The 17,916-nt window shown below is 40.9% G+C and overlaps 1 protein-coding gene across 11 annotated transcripts in view, besides 1 other annotated feature; it reads left to right on the top strand.

The window, feature by feature from the left end:
- ARHGAP28 (Rho GTPase activating protein 28) overlaps positions 1-17,916 on the top strand; it is a 186,001-nt gene that overhangs the window by 36,889 nt on the left and 131,196 nt on the right. The window contains exons 1-2 of one of the 11 annotated variants that reach the window (XM_047437797.1): positions 7,405-7,630; positions 12,342-12,432. The exons of 8 other annotated variants lie outside the window; for them this stretch is intronic. The gene's annotated coding sequence lies outside the window, so the exon portion shown is untranslated. Of the gene's footprint in view, positions 1-7,404; positions 7,631-8,229; positions 8,251-12,341; positions 12,433-17,916 lie in introns of those variants that run through there. 2 more of the 11 variants (XM_047437798.1, XM_047437800.1) reach the window with 2 other exon arrangements.
- Positions 16,227-16,809: an enhancer, noted in NCBI's record as "NANOG hESC enhancer chr18:6782830-6783412 (GRCh37/hg19 assembly coordinates)". NCBI's record gives its function as "activates a minimal SCP1, AML or CMV promoter by ChIP-STARR-seq in primed H9 embryonic stem cells {active_cell/tissue: H9 hESC(primed)}" and the evidence as "EXISTENCE:reporter gene assay evidence [ECO:0000049][PMID:30033119]".

Raw genomic sequence — 17,916 nt, forward strand, 5'->3', positions numbered from 1 at the left:
GATCTCTGTAGGCCTGGCTGAGACTTTTGGGGACCCAAAAGTCCCAGACTCTTCCTACTCAAGTCTTTTTCCCCTTCTCTGATCATAGGTTTCAGATCTTCAGTCATGTTTGAAGGCTTTTCTATACCCAGTGTGGCTCCTGTTTACCTTAATCTTTCATGGCTGTTTCCCCGCAGTAAATCTCCTGAGCTTCTGATTCAGTATTGACAACTGCTTCATGCAGGACCCAAGCTGCCGCACAAATCTACCTGTCTGAATGATGTGGCCACCCCAACTTTCTTATGATTAACGCTTGCATGTCATATCTTGGTCCGTCCTTTACTTTTCCTGTGCCTGTGTCTTTCTGAAGTGTGAAGACAGCATATATGCTTGGGTTTGGTCTACTATCTTGCTATATGTTTACTATTTATCCCATCTGTTCTTTTCCCTTTTTCTCACTCATTTCCGGCCCTCGTTTATATTACCTGAGTTTTACTGGGGTTTTTTTAGTATTTTATTTTATCTCTACTCTTTTAGCTCTTTGTTCATTATTTTTCGTGATGGCTGCAGAGTTTACAACATGACACTTTATCTTATCACATTCCACCTTTGAGTAATACTATCATTTCCTGTGTAAGAATCTTATGATCTTTGCTTTCATTTTTTCTTCCTCTCCTTTTTGCTGCTATCATATATTTTATTTATTACATGTCATAAACCTTAAAATACATTATCATTTTTGTTTCATACAGTCAATTTTATTTTAAAGAAATCAAAATAAGAAAATAGTTTCTTTTATATGTAGCCATATATTTGCAATTCCCCACATTTTTATTCTTTTGTAGAGGTCCAAGTTTCCATCTGGTATTATTTTCTTTCTGCTTGAAAAACTTTATGTTCTAGTATTTTTTTTCTAGTGCAGATTAGCTGGCTCTGTGCTTTTGTTTGTCTAAAAAAGTATTTATCTAGTCTTCCTTTATGAAGGATAACTTCACTGGATATTGAATTTTAGGTTGATCATTTCTTTCTTTTAACACTTTAAAGATGTTGCTCTACTACTTTTAGCTTGTGTGGTTCCTGACAAGAAGTTTGCAGTTATTCTTATCTTTGTTCTTCTGTATGTAATATGTCTGTTTTTTGCTACTCTGCTGCTGTCAATATTTTCTCTTTATCTCTGTTTTTCAGCAATTACATCATTATATGCCTGTCTGTGGTTTTGTGTTATCTTTCTTCGAGTTCACTGAGTTTCTTGAATCTGTGATCTATAGTTTTCAACAAACTTGGAAAATTTTCAGCCACTATTTCTTTAAATCAGTTCCCCGTCCCAATCCCCATCCTAGCACTCCAGTACCACATATGTTGGACTACTCCATGTCATCCCATAGGTCACTCAGACTCTATTCAATGTTTCCAAACTTTTGTTCCCTGTGTGTTTCAGTTTGAGTATTTTCCATATTTTGTCTCCAAATTTATTGGTCTCTTGTTCTGCAGTTGATTAATGTGCTAATAATTCTATCTAGTATATTTTTCATTTCAGATATTTTGTTCATTTCCAGAAAGTTTTATTTTCTTATCTCCCATTTCTCTCCTCTTATTTTTCTTTTTAAGTCCTTAAATAGTTGAGCATATTTATGATTTCTCTTTTTATGTCCTTATGTGCTAATTCCGCCACCCTTGACTCTGTCATTTCTGAGTCTGTTTTTGAGCCTCATTTTCTTGCTTCTTTGCATATATGTAGTTTTTTAGTTAATGCTGGACTGTTATTTTGTTGTTGTTGTTCAGTGCAAGGTTTTATTGCCTTTCTTTTAAAGTTTTGTTAAGGGAGGTCTAGAGTAGACTTTACTTAGGCTGATTTAGTTTCACTAAAGTGAGAGACTTCTGGGGTTTTGAGTAAAACCCCAGGTTCTCAACAAAGACTTTCTATTCTGATTGGTCCAAAGTCAAATGCCTCCCAGCCCTTTAGGAGCTCTGGGAATTGATTAACTTATGGAAGATCCTTTTCTGGGGGGTCAGGGGCTGCTCTATGAAGTTGACGCTGCACATGAGTGACTTAATATTTAGCAACAAATGCAAGGAGACCCCCATATGGATTAATTGAGCTCTTTGTCTCTATAACTTCTTCCTGTCAGATACTTTTTCTTCCAAATTCCATCTGCCTTAGCCTCCCTGAACTCTGTTCCATGTCCCCTTAACTCAGTGAGACCCCAGTGTTCTTGGCTTCCCCTTGCTGTGCTGCTGGTCTGGGCGGTTCATCCGGGTGGAAAGCTGGGATGCCTGTAGGACTCACTCAGCATTCCCTTTCTCTCAGGCATCACATCTTCTGTTGTGCTTCCTCTTATCCAATGTCTATAAACAGTTTTTTATGTAGTTTATGCAGTTATCTAGTTGTTTATGGTGGCAAGGCTAATCTAATATCAGTTCATCCTTTATGGCCAGAAACAATTTCAGCTTTTATAAATATTCTGGGTGTTTCCTTCTAGACATTAAGGTAGCCTTTCAGACCCTCTTTAGATTTGAGAGAGAAGCAACTTTTTGGTAGGGTGAGAAGAGACTCCGGGGCCATTGATTGTGCCCTGGACTGACACAAGCTGATATTAGACACAGGACCATAGTTGGCATCCCAGATAGGAAGGGGGTCTGACAACTGGGAGATTGAGGGGTTGCTGTGGCTCCTGCTCCTCCCAGGTCCTGTTTCCCAATCATCTTTCACACATAAGGAATATAAGTCAGGGACAACCTGTACATCTAAACTATTCCAAGAAAGTAATTTCCTAACTGGGGCTCCATGTCTATCGTTTCATTTATGGATGTGAATTTTCTTTCTCCTTTGCATGTCCATGGCAATTTAAATAATTCTTTAATCTTTTTCTTTTGCATCAATGCTATTCATTTAGGACTTCCAAAAGCGAGGAACTCTGTTAAGGGATTTGCATTCATAAACTCATTTAATTTTCACTATGACCCAATGAGGTAGGTACTGGTATGATCTCTATTTTATTCACGAGGAAAGCGAGACTTGGAAAGATTAAGAAATTTGCTCAAGATCATGCACCTATGTTGTGCCAAAGCCAGGATTTGCACCCACGTCCTTTTCATTTCGTGCTCTACATTCCTGCTATTAGGTTATCTTTCTGTCTTATACTGCACACTACCTTTGTACTACAGCTATTTCTATGTCTATCTTCGTAGTTTATGAATTGATTGAGAATAGGAACCCTGTACTTACACATTTTGTGTCTTCACGGCATTTATCAGGGCCCTTGCCCACAGCAATTTGGAAAGAGAAAAGGGGGAGGAAATGTCTCCTTTATTATTTATTTTGGAAAACAAATACCCCTAAACTCTTAGAATTAACTTGCCATCAAAATATTTCCTTATCGAGAATATTTTCCTTTCAAGGTAACTTCGTCTTATTTATTTTATTCCTAACAAATCATAGTTACTGGAATCAGCTGGTAGGAAATTAGCTATCCTTCTATAAAACAACAGATGGCAGCAAGGAAAAATTCATTTTTGTTTTGTTGCAAAGTGTACATAAGCAGTAATTGCAGGCTTTGGGATAATGTGTTCTATGATATTTGTTCCTTTTAGTCATGGACATAAATGATCTTCTCTTACAAGACTGATTTTTGTGTTTTCTGTAGCATCAGATAAATATTTATTAAAATATGATATATGGGCTCAAATAAGGATAGAAATAGCACAAGACCCTGTAATCAGTAACTTGAAGTTATCCTTTCATTTGTGAACCAAATACTCAGTGCTGTCTTGATTAAATCTGTCAATAATCTGGGCAATAAAGCAATTCTACAGGAAAAAGCTGACCGGTGCATTGGCATCCCCAGGGTAGGATGTCAGAGCTTTTGGGTGCTTCCAAAGTGTTGTTACGTTAGATGAAGAAAAAAGACTTGACTCTTGGATGGCAGTTTCCACAATTCATCCCCACCTTCCCCTGGGATCAAACATGCTCGTCACAGGCAGCATTTAAGCCACATCTGATAACCTTCTATAGTTGAGCTCTCTTGCTCCACATAGACTGATATTTGTCAAGCCAGAGGCTACTTGTAAGGTGAGAAAGCCTGGCTGCTGGAAGCTGTTAAAAAATCGATATCAGACTTCTTTAGAATCTTTAATTATTCAATTAAAAAATGCCTCCAGCCCTTGGGCAGCTGAGTGAAGGGGAGAGGGAAGAGGTGTGGGAGGTGGGGGGTGGGGAGCCATATTGCCCCAGTGTTTGAAACCTTGAATTCAGAAAAACATAAAGAGAATGAAGACTTGTGAAAGTCAGTCAGTTTTGTTTTTATTTGACCATACTCTGTTCTTAGAGATTCTTTTTCATCAGCCCAAATCTGTAACCTTCAGGTTCAATAATTATGAAACTCTTCTCCATATTTTGGAACTAAAATGTCTTCATTCAGAGTGAGCAACTTTAAATCTTTTTTTGTTTTGTTTTATTTTTATTTTTATTTTTGAGACAGGGTTTTGCTCTGTCACCCAGCCTGGAGTGCAGTGGTATGATCATGGCTCACTGCAGCCTTGTTCTCCTGGGCTCAAGCAATCCTCCTGCCCCAGCCTCCTGGATAGCTGGGACTATGGGTGTGCACCACCACACCTGGCTAATTTTTAGATTTTTTTGTAGAGATGAGTGGGGTATCTCACTATGTTGTCCAGACTGGTCTCAAACTCTTGAGTTCAATTAAATCCCCCTGCCTCAGCCTCCTAAAGTGCTGGTATTACAGTTATAAGCCACTGTGCCTGGCCTAAATATTTATTTTCAATTATTAATGCTCACAAAAAGATCTGTAGTAAGATAGTTCTTGTCCTCTCTAAAATGTGGGAGCCAAGAGAGGGTAGAGAGGAAAAGAAGAGAGATGGGGAGAGGTTCGTATTTCACAAGCAAAGCAAGAGCGTTCCTTAGAAGTGAGAGGGAATTATGTTCCACATGATCTTTTGAGATTCAGGATCTTTCATCTCTTGGTAATTTTATAAAATGGACAAATAACCACTAAAGTCACTTCCTTCGTTACACATAATTAATGAACATTCATCAAGGAATTGATCTGTGGTCCTTAGTGACCTGAACTGGATTCAAGCAATAATGTGAAGGCCCAACACTAAATACCATATGTTGTTTCTGATCCTTGAGACTATCCTGTTGCCTAGTACGTTTTTATGTTAAACATTAGTAGTTGGATCTTAAAAACCACAAGAGAACACATGTCATTTTCCTTGTCTGGATAATGCTCTTTATGTAGTTAGATAAAAGGTTAGGACTGTTGTTCAACAGCATGTTAGGGTGACTAGCTGGAAGAGAGGAAACATACAAATGATAAAATTCAAAGTAGTAGATACCTCAGATACCCTGAGCTGATCATTACACATTCTATGCATGTAACAAAATATCACATATACCCCATAAATATGTAAAATATTATGTATCAATACAAAATCCTCTCAAATCCATAAAACCCCACAAAACCATTAATGAATCCCACTGCCACCAAGGTAGGACTTAAAGGACAATGGGGAGTTTTCATTTTTAAGGGAAACAAGCCCAAAAAAGGACTTTAGGTATACTCTAAACTAAGCTAAATTGTTTCAGTGAATTAATTCATACTAAATATTGTACCTAATAGTCACACTCCATGAATTTCATTTGTACATTAACCATCTTAATAGTATGTTTCAACTGGGTGCTCTAACAGAATGTAAGGTCATATTTATTACATTTGTTTCCAGGAGCTCCAACTTGTCTTAAAGTTTACTACATTGCATTTTCCCTGGGATGTTTCTCTATAGAAAAACGGTACAGACAGTTCCTGACTTAGGATGGTTCGACTTAGGATCTTTTTACTTTACAATAGTGCAAAAGTGACATGTGTTCTGTAGAGACCATACTTGGAGTACCCATTCAACCATTCTGTTTTTCACTTTCAGTACAGTATTCAATACATTATATGAGATATTCAACACTTTATTATAAAATAAGCTTTGTGTTAGAGGATTTAACGAACTATATGATAATGTAAGATAATGAGCACGTTTATGGTAGGCTAGGGTGAGCTGTGATGCTCTGTAGGTTGGGTTTATTCAATGCATTTTTGACTTATTTGACAGTATTTTCAATTTGTGATGGGTTTTATTTTTTTTTATTTTTTATTTTTTTTTGAGACGGAGTTTCGCTCTTGTTGCCCAGGCTGGAGTGCAATGGCACGGTCTCGGCTCACTGCAACATCTGCCTCCGCCTCCCGGGTCCAAGCAATTCTCCTGCCTCAGCCTCCCGAGTAGCTGGGATTATAGGCATGCATCACCACACTCAGCTAATTTTTGTATTATTAGTAGAGATGGGTTTTCACCATGTTGGCCAGGCTGGTCTCGAACTCCTGACCTCAGGTGATCCACCCGCCTCAGCCTCCTAAAGTGCTGGGATTGTGAAGGTTTTATCTGGACATAACTCCATCATAAGTCAAGAAGCACCTGTATTCATTCACTAATTAAATATGTATTTGTTTGAGTTTTACCTTGTGTAGAATGTTGTACTTTGTCTGAAATTACGCATTTATCCATTTATTCATTTAGCAGATATTTATTGTATGTTAATGTATGCCAGGAACAGTTCTTGGCACTGGAAATGTTAAATCAGCATAGCAAATGAAGTTTCTGTTCCACCTGTGACCTAGGTGCCAATGAGGAAGTCAGACAGTACACAAGCAACAGATGCATACATAATGTAATTTTGGAGAGAAGAGAAGAAATAAATTAGCTCCTTTTACTAATGTCTGATATTGTGTGACAGCAGCTGGGAAATCAGATAATGTGGTATAATGATAGCATGATCTTTTATAGAGGGCCAAGTATAGGGTCTTTTACAGTCATCTTATGCAGTTCTCATAATAGCTTTGCAAAGTGCGTATTATCAATGCCATTTATTCAGATGGAAAATCTGAGGCCCAAAGAGAATCTGTGAATTTCAGAAGGGCTCAAAGCTAGTAAATGGCAAAGTTTTTTCAACCAGACCCTTGCCTTCTGACCATAAGTTGCGTGGTTTCTCTCTGCATTGCTGCTTGGTATTTACTGAATTAATCATCCATGAATTCTTTCCTTTCTACATTTCAGGTTAAAAAAATCTTTCGGGAATAGGAAAACTTTTTGCAATCACAACAGTTATGGTTTTTGCTTTTGACTTTTGAATAAAGCTCCACATTTGTTAAGTGGAGAAAAGAAGGAAGGAAAAACTGTAAAAATTGTCCTCACACACTGCTTGGGTTTCTATTAATCTCAGCCTTCTTGAGGCTGATTACACTTTGCAGTCTTCCTTAGGAAATGGATGGAAGTTTGAGCTGAGACACAAACAGGAAGGCTCCAGGCAGCATTTGTCCCACAGGCACCACCTCCTTAAATAGCTTCTGTGCAGTGGAATTAGTTCTTCACTTAGAGAAGAAACTCCATTGCCCTTTGTTTCTGGCCCTGTGCGGCTGGAGGCGGCCAGCACTGTCCTGTCCTGGTTGAAGCAATTTTAATGTGTGTGGGGTGCTGAATGTGGGCTGGGGATGGCTTCCCTGCCTTTGGGTCATGGGGAGACACACTTGCAGAGGGGTTTTGTGGGTCTTCCTCAAGAATATCATCCCTGAAATTTTTAACCTGCTAAAAGGTAAGGTTCTAAGCACTTCTTAATAACTTCGGCCACAGACTTCTTTCTGCAGACTAGTTCTTTCTTTTATGTAAAAGAGAAAGGAAGGCGCAGATAGCTGTGATAGCTTTTTTAAAATCTATTTTTAGGGGCTTATAGTTTTATTATTAGTTTATAGATGCATCATATTGATAGTAAATTGCCATTTTTTAACCTCTCACAGCAGATTTTTGTCATGGTATGGATATGGATTTTTAAACCTCAAATATACAAGTTAAGTCCTATTAGTAATTTGAGAGGACTAGTTAAAATGTGTTCTTAATAGATGGTTAAAAATGAATTGCTTAGAAGTCTTTTGATTCCTATTTCTGTTTGTGTGCTGGAGCCTTTAAACTAACCCAATCTTTCCAGTTAATTACCTAATTTTAGAAAAATCTACTGAGGTAGATAGAGTTCATTAGCCAAGCAAGCTCTTCTATTCTTTAATGGAATTAATGCACATCTGTGGGCAGGCTTACCAAGCCTTTCCTCCTGCTGTCAGCGCTGGGACAGAGGGCACCCACCAGAAGTGGCTGTGTGTTGCCCTGGTCCTACACCTATGGTGGGGACCATAGGTGGGGAAGGAGTTCTACAGGAAAGAGGTTTGCTGGGGGATTTGTGTGACCTGCATCTGTCCATTTCTTCTGATCTTTCCGTGGCCTCTGTCTACCCCTCCCTTAAGCACCTTCTTAGAAATTAATTAGCACCTGTGTTAGTGTAGTCTCAAAGCCAAGGACCTAATTAGTCTGATCAATAGCACGCAGAGGCTCTTCTTCGGGAAACACAAATGTGTGCTCTTCCCAGAAAGGCTTCCATAATATCGATTAACCTCTTTTCATGTTTAATTTGTAAAGCATTGTCATACATACAGCTACCTTGTCAATGACTCTTTGTTTGTCTTCTATTTCATTTTTGTTCTTGTTCTTGTCCTTTGTGATGGGTTTGGTTGGAGAGGAGGAGCGTTAAGAGAGGTGGTCTTGCTGTTTATTTGAATTTCCTTTTTAAAATTAGATTGCAATCATCTGCATCAGAGCATTATGGATTCCTTTTCCTTGAGCAGTGTCATCTGTGTATTTACAAAGTGTGTTTATCGTTTCCTTATTGTTCTTAAGTGTTTTTACTAGAGCATTTTGTAATCAAAAAGTCAAGTCTTCTTTGACTCTATTGAACTTGCTTTTTAGATTGGTTTAGAGTGTGTTAAGGAAGCCTTCGATGAAATATTGCTTGTTTTCATAGTGTGTGGTGGAAGGGGTGAGAGTTTTTTGTTTGTTTGTTTTTAGTTTTACCTCCGATTTCAGGTGGTGTAAGCAAAACCGAGGGCAATGATAGGCCACGTGATGCTTCGGATGTGACATTCGCTGGATGTGTTCATTTGTGAAAGTAATAAAATTTTACACATGCTTTGGTGATGATTACTAAATAGGGAGACTTTCCTTAACTTTAAATCTCCTAAGTAATACTGAATTTGCATTATATTTAGAAATTGTTTCACATTCTATGGTTTCTTTTTGATAGCTCCCATGTATAATTACTGCTCCCCTCCCATGCTCACTTTGTACGTGTTGCCTGTCTTTTACAGACAAATTTTATGAGGCCCTTGTTAAACTCTGAGCCAAGGGATTAGTTGAAGATCAGCTGCACTAATTAAAGACAAGTTTAACAAGGTAGGGCTCATGTTTAGATTTGAAAATACAAACAAAGGACTTCATTTTTATGATCTTAAAGCCAAAGTGGGGAAAAAACATTGGGAAAATGAACAACACTTAGCCTACCCAAGCAAGTAGGAACTTTTACAGATAAAGGAACCCTGAAGACAATGGACACAGTAATACAAGGTTCTAAAGACGAGTTTCTGGCTGAAATTTTAGGAAAAAAATAACAATATAGCCCCTGAGATGAGCTAAAATAGCCCCTGAGATGAGCTAAAAGGAAATCAATGCCTTTCTATGATAAGTGGAATGACAAAGTAGAGTGAAGTAAGGATTTACTGGAAGGCCTCCTCCTGACTCCAGATGAGCCGAGTGCAGGAATGTGTTTTAATGCCTGTTTCAAACCCCAGCGGTGGTGTTTTGAATCAGTGCTGCTGACGTAAACACAGACTGAATGTGGATATTTTCCAAAAGTAGAGAATGAAAACAGTTCAGTCAAGATGTACAGTATTAATACAGTAAAGGCTTGCTGCAGCAGCTGGCCACCGGCTTGAGTATCACAGCCATTCAAGTCTCCCTGAAGGTGCGGTGCTGCTGGCGGTAAGACTGCTGGTCTCGAGCTCAAGTGATCTGCCTGCCTCTGCCTTGGCCTCCCAGAGTGCTGGGATTATAGGCATGAGCCACCATGCCCGGCCCAAAGTGTTTCTTTGACAATTTGCTGTATATGAAGTAGTGGATGTAAGTACACCTGATGAGGAGGAGGATTATAATAGGTAACACATCTTAGTTATGATGGTGACCTTTTTGAGACAAGGAGAAACGGGGTGTCAGAGTGGTACATAGGTTATTCTTTCAGTCGGTGGTAGATCGGAGATTCAATCCACACTGGTTCAGCTGCAAAGCCCTCTTTCTTAACCGCTATAATATCTTGTTCCCCTTGACTCCTATTCAGCAGCCCAACTTAAAGGATCCATGATTAGATCATTATGGATGAATGTTAGCATATACGATTGGAGGGGGGATAGCGGTGAGTTTGAAAAGGTAAGCTGAGGCAGGTTATGAAGAAATTTTTATACAACCTAACAAGTTTGGAACATCCTCCCAACAATTGGGGAACTTTTATCAAATGATTGTTAATAAGAGAATGACATATAAAATTTTTGTTTTGTCAACATGACTCTTGCAAGGGTATGTAAAGAATATTAAAATGGGAGGAGTTGGGAAACCAGTTAGGCGGTGCAATAACCTAGATATATTATAAACTTGAACACTGGGTGTACAGCAAAATAGAAAAAGATGTATTTGAGAGATATGTTTAAGGGAGACTCACCTGGATTTGTGAATCTATCTAATATAGAGGGAGTAGTAAAAAATGACAAGTGTGTAATGATGCCATTACTGAGACTGGGAAAAAGGATTACAGTTAGGAGGGGGGTGAGCTTTGGACAAGATGGGTTTCAAGTGAAGGAGAACATGCAGAACACAACTTGACATACTGAAGAGTCAGAGCTCAAGAGCAATTAGCCCAAAGATTTGCGAGGCTGGGCGTGGTGGCTCACACCTGCAATCCCAGCACTTTGGAGGGCAGAGGTGGGAAGTTCACTTGAGCTCAGGAGTTCAGGATCAGCCTGGGCAACATAGTGAGACCACATGTCTACGAAAAGTTTTTAAAAATTAGCAGGTCTTGGTGGCATTCGCCTGTAGTTCCAGTTGCTTGGAAAGCTGCGGTGGGAGAATCACTTGATATCAGGAGGTCAAGGCTGCAGTGATCTATGATTGCACCACTGCATTCCAGCCTGGGCAACAGAGCAAGACCCTGTCTCAATGAATGAATGAATGAATGAATGAGTGAATGAATGAATGAATGAATAAAACAGTTGTGAACCCTCAGCCTGTAAGTGAGAAGAATGGACAAGGTTGTGGGGAGAGGCTGGGGCTGCTTCAAGTAGAAAGATATTGACAGAGTATGAAGGAAAACACCCAAGAACACCATTGGTTTTGAAGGTCTGACCCTCCTTAGCATTTTTCCGATCTGGTGGCTACACTGGGGACTCTGATTGGACATAGGTATTTCCCAAGCCTTCATCAGTATGATTACCAGCCATCCTTTAGGGTGGTTCCCTTAGGCACTAGCAAAGCCATTAGCTCTTGGTTTTTTCCAATATTCTCAGAAGATTAACTCCAAACTTGGGAAAGTTTTGCCCTTTAGAAATCGACTAAGGATTGGTGTAGTCTGGAGATGTGTATAACTCATTCATAATCATTTGATTAGCTGTATCAACCTTTCTCTAGGATTTTTTCCATGAAGTTGGCATGTTGCATTTCTAGTTTTGAAATTAGTGCAGAGATGGATCCACATGAAATGACTGACAACTTCTTAATGAGCTGCAAGTTTCATGTAAAATGTCCTGGAAACTTTACTGGCAGCCTCCTATATCCTAAAAATGTATGAGTTTCTTCATTCTCTTGTGGTGCCCTCTTTCAGTAACAAGGAGAAGAAATTGGTCATGTTGTCCATTCATAAGCAGCTTTTTAGCAATGGTCACTGCATCAGAAACAATACTGCAAGTACCTTATGGGAAAATACCCAAGGCACAGGGTAGAGAGTCCTGGCTCTGAGGTCTGACAGCCTGAGTTGGAATCCTAGCTCTTCCTCTTAATCAGCAATGTGTCTTCAGACCAGTGGCAAACCCTCTTTAATCCTTCATTTCCTTATCTGTAAATAATACCTGTAGGATTTCTCGTGGAATTGCTGAGGATTTTCAACAGGTGTTTTACTTAATATTGGGCACTAGGGAGTGCTACGTGTGACTAACGAGCATTAGTGCATCTTGATTAGAGTTGATTTTGCTCTTTTATTCTCTTTTAAAGACCTTTTTGAGTGACTGTCTGGAAATGTTTTTATCTGACTTTCCTGAATACCTCAGTGGTACTGTGAATAGTAGAAGATCTGATATTAGGGAATATCGGGCTATCACAGCAGTTCATTCTATTGGATTTGGAAGACTATACTTTTTCAGGGTATTCCTCCCTTCATCTTACAGAATCACCACTTCACATCTGTAAGCAGAGCGCTGGCTAACTCTGTGGCTTAAGCAGAGGTCAGAACATCTGAAGTGATCTGCAGATATCCTGGTATGTTCATTTTCTTTGTTCTCCAGACCAGGTCACAAGAATGCTTGCCTGAGTCAGCATTGTAGTAGAAGTGTTTCCTTTAATGTCAATTACATAGACTCATGCAGAGCCTAGGCCTTTTCATAGGCCATTATACATATCCAACTTTGTTTGGGTCCAGATATTATTGAAGGGTGCACTGTGTACTGCATATGAAAATAATCCTGCATCATGTTATCTGGAAAATTACCCCAAATTGCAGTATTAAGATAGATATTGAAGCTCTGCAAAGTAAGCAGTGAAATCCTCCTCCATCTGCTGATTAGGGTTGTGGAATTTACCTGGTAGAGAAAGGAATAATAGGCTGTGCAAAATAGACATTATCAGGAACTGCATACATTTATCACATTTCCTTGGGCAGAACAAAATTGCAGGAGCCTTTATCATTGCATCTACTTGGTTTTCACAAGCTGAGCATGAACACTGTGTTTATATTAGAGGCTTTCCATTTTGATTTCATCAGAATTCTACAAAGTTTCAATATATAGTTTCCAAGGTACAGGTATACCCCGATCTCCTTAACAGCCATTGTATGACCACTATCTGCCCCAGTTCTAGGTTGGAGGTCACATTCAAGTGCTTGCCTGGCCTTATGGACAGCAGAAACATCTGCCTATTTTTGTATAGCATTTTAAACATCTTCCTCATTATCAGAGAAGCTGTGTTAGGTAATGGTACAAATCCATTTGTCAAGACTCATGCAGGCCTCTGCCAATTCTTTATTGCTTCAAAATTACACTGACCTACGTGCATCTTTCTAACAGGCTTCTGAAAGAAATTCAACCATCCTGCTACAAAAGTAAATCAAAGATAACTCGAAATGTCACTAACTTTGAACCTGAGAGTCCCTAGCTTACATAAGAATGATCCCTATGAACTAGAACAGTTAAGGGAACTTCATGGGAAATATGAGGCTTGCAGCAAGACGTTGGAAAGGAGAGGAGAGCAGAAGAGGTCCAGGTGCTTCCAGGCAGGGCTGTTGCTTGTTGGACATGAGCTGGACCTACAAGCCCACCCCAGCTTTCAACTGGAGTTCAGGGAAGCTCAGTGACAAGGCCAGATGGCTGCCCAGAATCAGCTGGTCATATGCAGAAGCGAGACCACTGAGCTGCTGCTTCTGGATAGAATTGGATCTTAACCAAGCATTCACATAAAGTCAGCCCTTGGTATCTACAGGTTCTGCATGGGCAGATTGAACCAACCTTGAATCAAAAATATTTGGGGAAAAAAAAACAATAAAAACTAACTACGACAATTAAAAATACAAATTAAAAAACCAATACAGTGTAACTCTTTACATAGGGTTTACATTGTGCTGGGTATTATACGTGATCTAGAGATGACTTAAAGTGTTGGGAGGATGTGCTTAAGTTATATGCAAACACTACGCCATTTTATGTAATGGACTTGAGCATCGGTGGAATTTGGTATTAGTTGTGGGGAGGGGTATGGAACCAATCCCCCTCAGATGCTGAGGGATGCCTGTATAACATTTAAGCAATGGAGGCTGAGAAAAAAAATCAGTCTCTTAGGCCAGGTGCGGTGGCTCATGCCTGTAATCCCAGCACTTTGGTAGGCCAAGGTGGGTGGATCACCTGAGGTCAGGAGTTCGAGACCAGCCTGCCCAAGATAGCAAAACCCCGTCTCTACTAAAAATACAAAAATTAGCCAGGCATGGTCGTGGCAGGCGCCTGTAATGCCAGCTACTCACGAGGCTGAGGCAGGAGAATCTCTTGAACCCGGGAGGTGGAGGTTGCAGTGAGCCGAGATCACGCCATTTGCACTCCAGCCTAGGCAACAAGAGCAAAACTCCGTCTCCAAAAAAAAAAAAAAAAATTCAATCAGTCTTGTAATGCCCATGAATTTCACAGTCACAGAATGTAATTTTCTTTATTTCTGGTAATAAAATTTATATTCTAACTCTGAGCCCCCACTTCTGACGGACAGCAGAAAAGCTCCATCTAGTCACAGCCACAGCCAGTCGACTTGATCCAATTTAGCACTTTCTAAGTTGCTTCTGGTTAAAATTCAGGAATATTCAGAATATTTCCCTTTGATTCCCCTCCTTTCCTTCTATTGCTGCTGGAAGCCATTGCATCTGGAGAGGCAGTCGGGACAGTCAGGGGGACCTGTGTTGGTGACTCAGCCTTCCTCTGCTGTCTGAGCTTTGACCCCAGGGGATTGGACACAGTGCTGCTGGGATGCAAGAGTGGATCTATGGGGTGGCTCCCACCTGGGTCTCTGATATGAGTTGAGCCTTCGTCCTGTTCCAGTTTCTGGAAGGAACTGTTCACTCTGCAGCCCCTGCCACGGGGATCCTTATCTCCAGCCAGGCACGTCTGTCAGGCTCTGAGAATCAATCAGTCTCTGTCTGCTTCCTTTTCTCTCTCAGCTAAAGTGGGCACCCCTCAGGCTGTGCAGGGAACTCCTGACCCCATCACTCCCCAGCGGGAGCGGGAGCTGCTGTCTCTGCCCATTCTTCTTGCCCTGGTGACATGGGATGTGTCTCTGAGGCTGCTTCCTTAATCACAAAAGAAGGGAAGCAGGAAGCAAGTGTCTTCCTAGATCCTCCCAAACTTCGTGGAGAAGCCTGTGAGGGCCCCAGCTCCCACCTGACACACTGTGGCATTGTTCTGGGGGTGGGACACCAAACACATGGCCTCTAATTGCTCATAATGATTTTTTCCTCTGCAAATTCTTTCCTTCTCCCTAGTTTGGATGGGGTGGTAAAAAAAACTTGTTTTGCCAGTTGATATCTCTTTTCAAAACTATTTTTGTCTCTCTTTTGAACTAGAGCCAAGATTCTGGAATCTGTTTGCTGTTTTTATTTTTCTTCCTGACAATTCTCCCTGGGGCAAGTGGTAAACTGGCCAGCCCATATCTCTTGGAATATGGGTTTAGGGATGGGGACAGGGCAGTGGAGAGAGGGGCACATCAGTCAACAAGCTATCATATTATCCTGGCAGAGAGCACCCAGATCTGATTCATCAGTCAAGGCCCAAGCCAATTTCTCACTTCCTGGAGATTCCAACTGGTTTTTTTTTTAGCTGCCTCCCCAGCCTTGGGAAGGTCTGCTGTGCTTAGCCACTGCAACTGATGAGGAGCAGAGCATGTCCTTGGTTTAGGGAGTGGGGGGTTGAGGGGGTGAGATAACCTTGTTTTCTAGGGTGAATGGGTAGAAGAGTGTTCACTGTTTTTTAGCACGTTGAAAATCCAAATATGAGGTTATTCTTTCCATCTTTTAATGTTATTCCTAACAGCCTCGATTAGAGTATTAATGAGGAATCCCTTGAAATATACATATATGTCACTATCTGTTATATATAATGTCAAGACATTAATTATTATTATTATTATTTTGAGATAGAGTCTCACTCTGTCACCCAGGCTGGAGTGCAGTGGCACGATCTCGGCTCACTGCAACCTCTGCCTCCTGCATTCAAGTGATTCTCATGCGTCAGCTTCCTGAGTAGCTAGGATTACAGGCACCTGCCATCACGCCCAGCTAATTTTTGTATTTTTTTTTTTTTTTTTTTTTTTTTTTTTTTTTTTTTAGTAGAGACGGGGTTTCACCATGTTGACCAGGCTGGTCTCAAACTCCTGACCTCAGGTGATCCACCCACCTCGGCCTCCCAAAGTGCTGGGATTACAGGCGTGAGCCACCACACCCAGCCAAGAGATTAATTATATATCATATTTTATATACAATTATATAATTGTATATAATGTGTGCCCATATGTATTTCTCTAACAAACTTCTGATTGGATCTTTTTAGGAGCTGGCTATTTGGTCTTGGTGCTTACTCTTTCTTATTTTCTTTGGGTCTACTTTCTTTCCCAAATCTTGGAAATCCATCAGTAACATTGTATCTGAATTCTAAAAAGGAGCAGGAGGGTTTTGGGCCATGTGCTCCTGAGACCAAAGTGAAAGCTGGTCTTCCCTTAACTGCCACAGCCAGCTCCAACCTGCTAGTCCTGTTTCTCCAAGAGAACCTGTTGAGGCCACTGTGTTCTTCACTTTCTGAGCTGGGCTTTTGATGGCTTCCCAGCACTTTGCCTCAGGCATTCATCTTGTTTTTCTTTTATCTTTAATGCTCCCCCTGCTTACCCACTTGGGGTTCTTTTCTTCCTGAAGATTACCTATAGAAATAAACAGACTCACTGCAGTTTTTTTTCCATGTCGCCCCCCTCGAGAAGTCCAGACTCTTTGTGTTTTAAGGGTATTTACTTTTTTTTTTTTTTTGAGATGGAGTTTCGCTCTTGTTACCAAGGCTGGAGTGCAATGGCGCGATCTCAGCTCACTGCAACCTCTGCCTCCCAGGTTCAAGCGATTTTCCTGCCTCAGCCTCCCAAGTAGCTGGGATTACAGGCATGTGCCACCAGGCCTGGCTAATTTTGTATTTTTAGTAGAGACGGGGTTTCTCCATGTTGGTCAGGCTGGTCTTGAACTCCTGACCTCAGGTGATCTGCCTGCCTCAGCCTCCCAAAGTGCTGGGATTACAGGCGTGAGCCACCATGACCGGCCTGGGTATTTACTTTTAACCACAGGACATAACACATTGCTGAATTAATCAGAAGTTCACTCTTACTCTCCTACACTTTGAGACGCTCTGCGGGGAGCTCATCCACAAGCCCCCCTTGCCCTCTAGTTCCCAGTTGGGTTTGGCCAATGGGAGGCACAAGAGGCAATCAGGGACTGGGAAGAAAGTGAGACTGGGATGTTTATTCCCCTTTCCCATCCCTAGGAAAACTGCGTTCCTCTATTCTGTACCCAAGACCACAGCTCTTTTCATGACCCTGGCCTACTGCTCCTGTTCCAGCTTTAAAGTTCTCTGGTTCTGGTAACCACTCCCTCCCTTTGGGCTTCCCGTCTAGGGCTGGTGATGCCTCATCCTCCTGGTTGCTGTTAAGTTCCTTAATTTTTTCTTCCCCTCATGCTGCTCACATTTTGCAAATAGCCAGGCAGACTCTTATTAAAACCTCCTCAGTTACTTCTTTGAGTTTACTATCTACTTTCTCCCGGGAGCCCAGTGAAATCCATGCAGTTGGAGATCCCGGGAGCCCAGTCAAATCCATGCAGTTGGAGATCCCTTCAGCATAGGTCTCTGGGCTGGCTTGCTCCTGGAGGTGTGTCTAAACTGTAGCCCAGCGGTATTTGTAACCCCTGGGAGCTTTGTTAGAAATGCAGAATGTTAGATTCTGCCCCAGACTTCTTGAATCAGAGTCTGCATTTTAACCAGACTCCCAAGTGATTTATATCCACCTAGAGATTAAGAAGCACTGCTTTAGGGAGCAAGTAGCCAGGAGCCTGGTTGGGTTTACGCGTTCTGAATGTAATCGCTTTCATTTCTGGGGAAAGCCCACAACTTTTCTTGCTTCTCCTGCCCTGTCTCCAACCACCTTCCTACCCTCCACTACAGAGCAAAGCTCACACTCCTCTTACCT

The sequence above is a fragment of the Homo sapiens genome, chromosome 18 (assembly GCF_000001405.40).
Source record: "Homo sapiens chromosome 18, GRCh38.p14 Primary Assembly".
In the NCBI taxonomy this organism is placed as follows: Eukaryota; Metazoa; Chordata; class Mammalia; order Primates; family Hominidae; genus Homo; species Homo sapiens.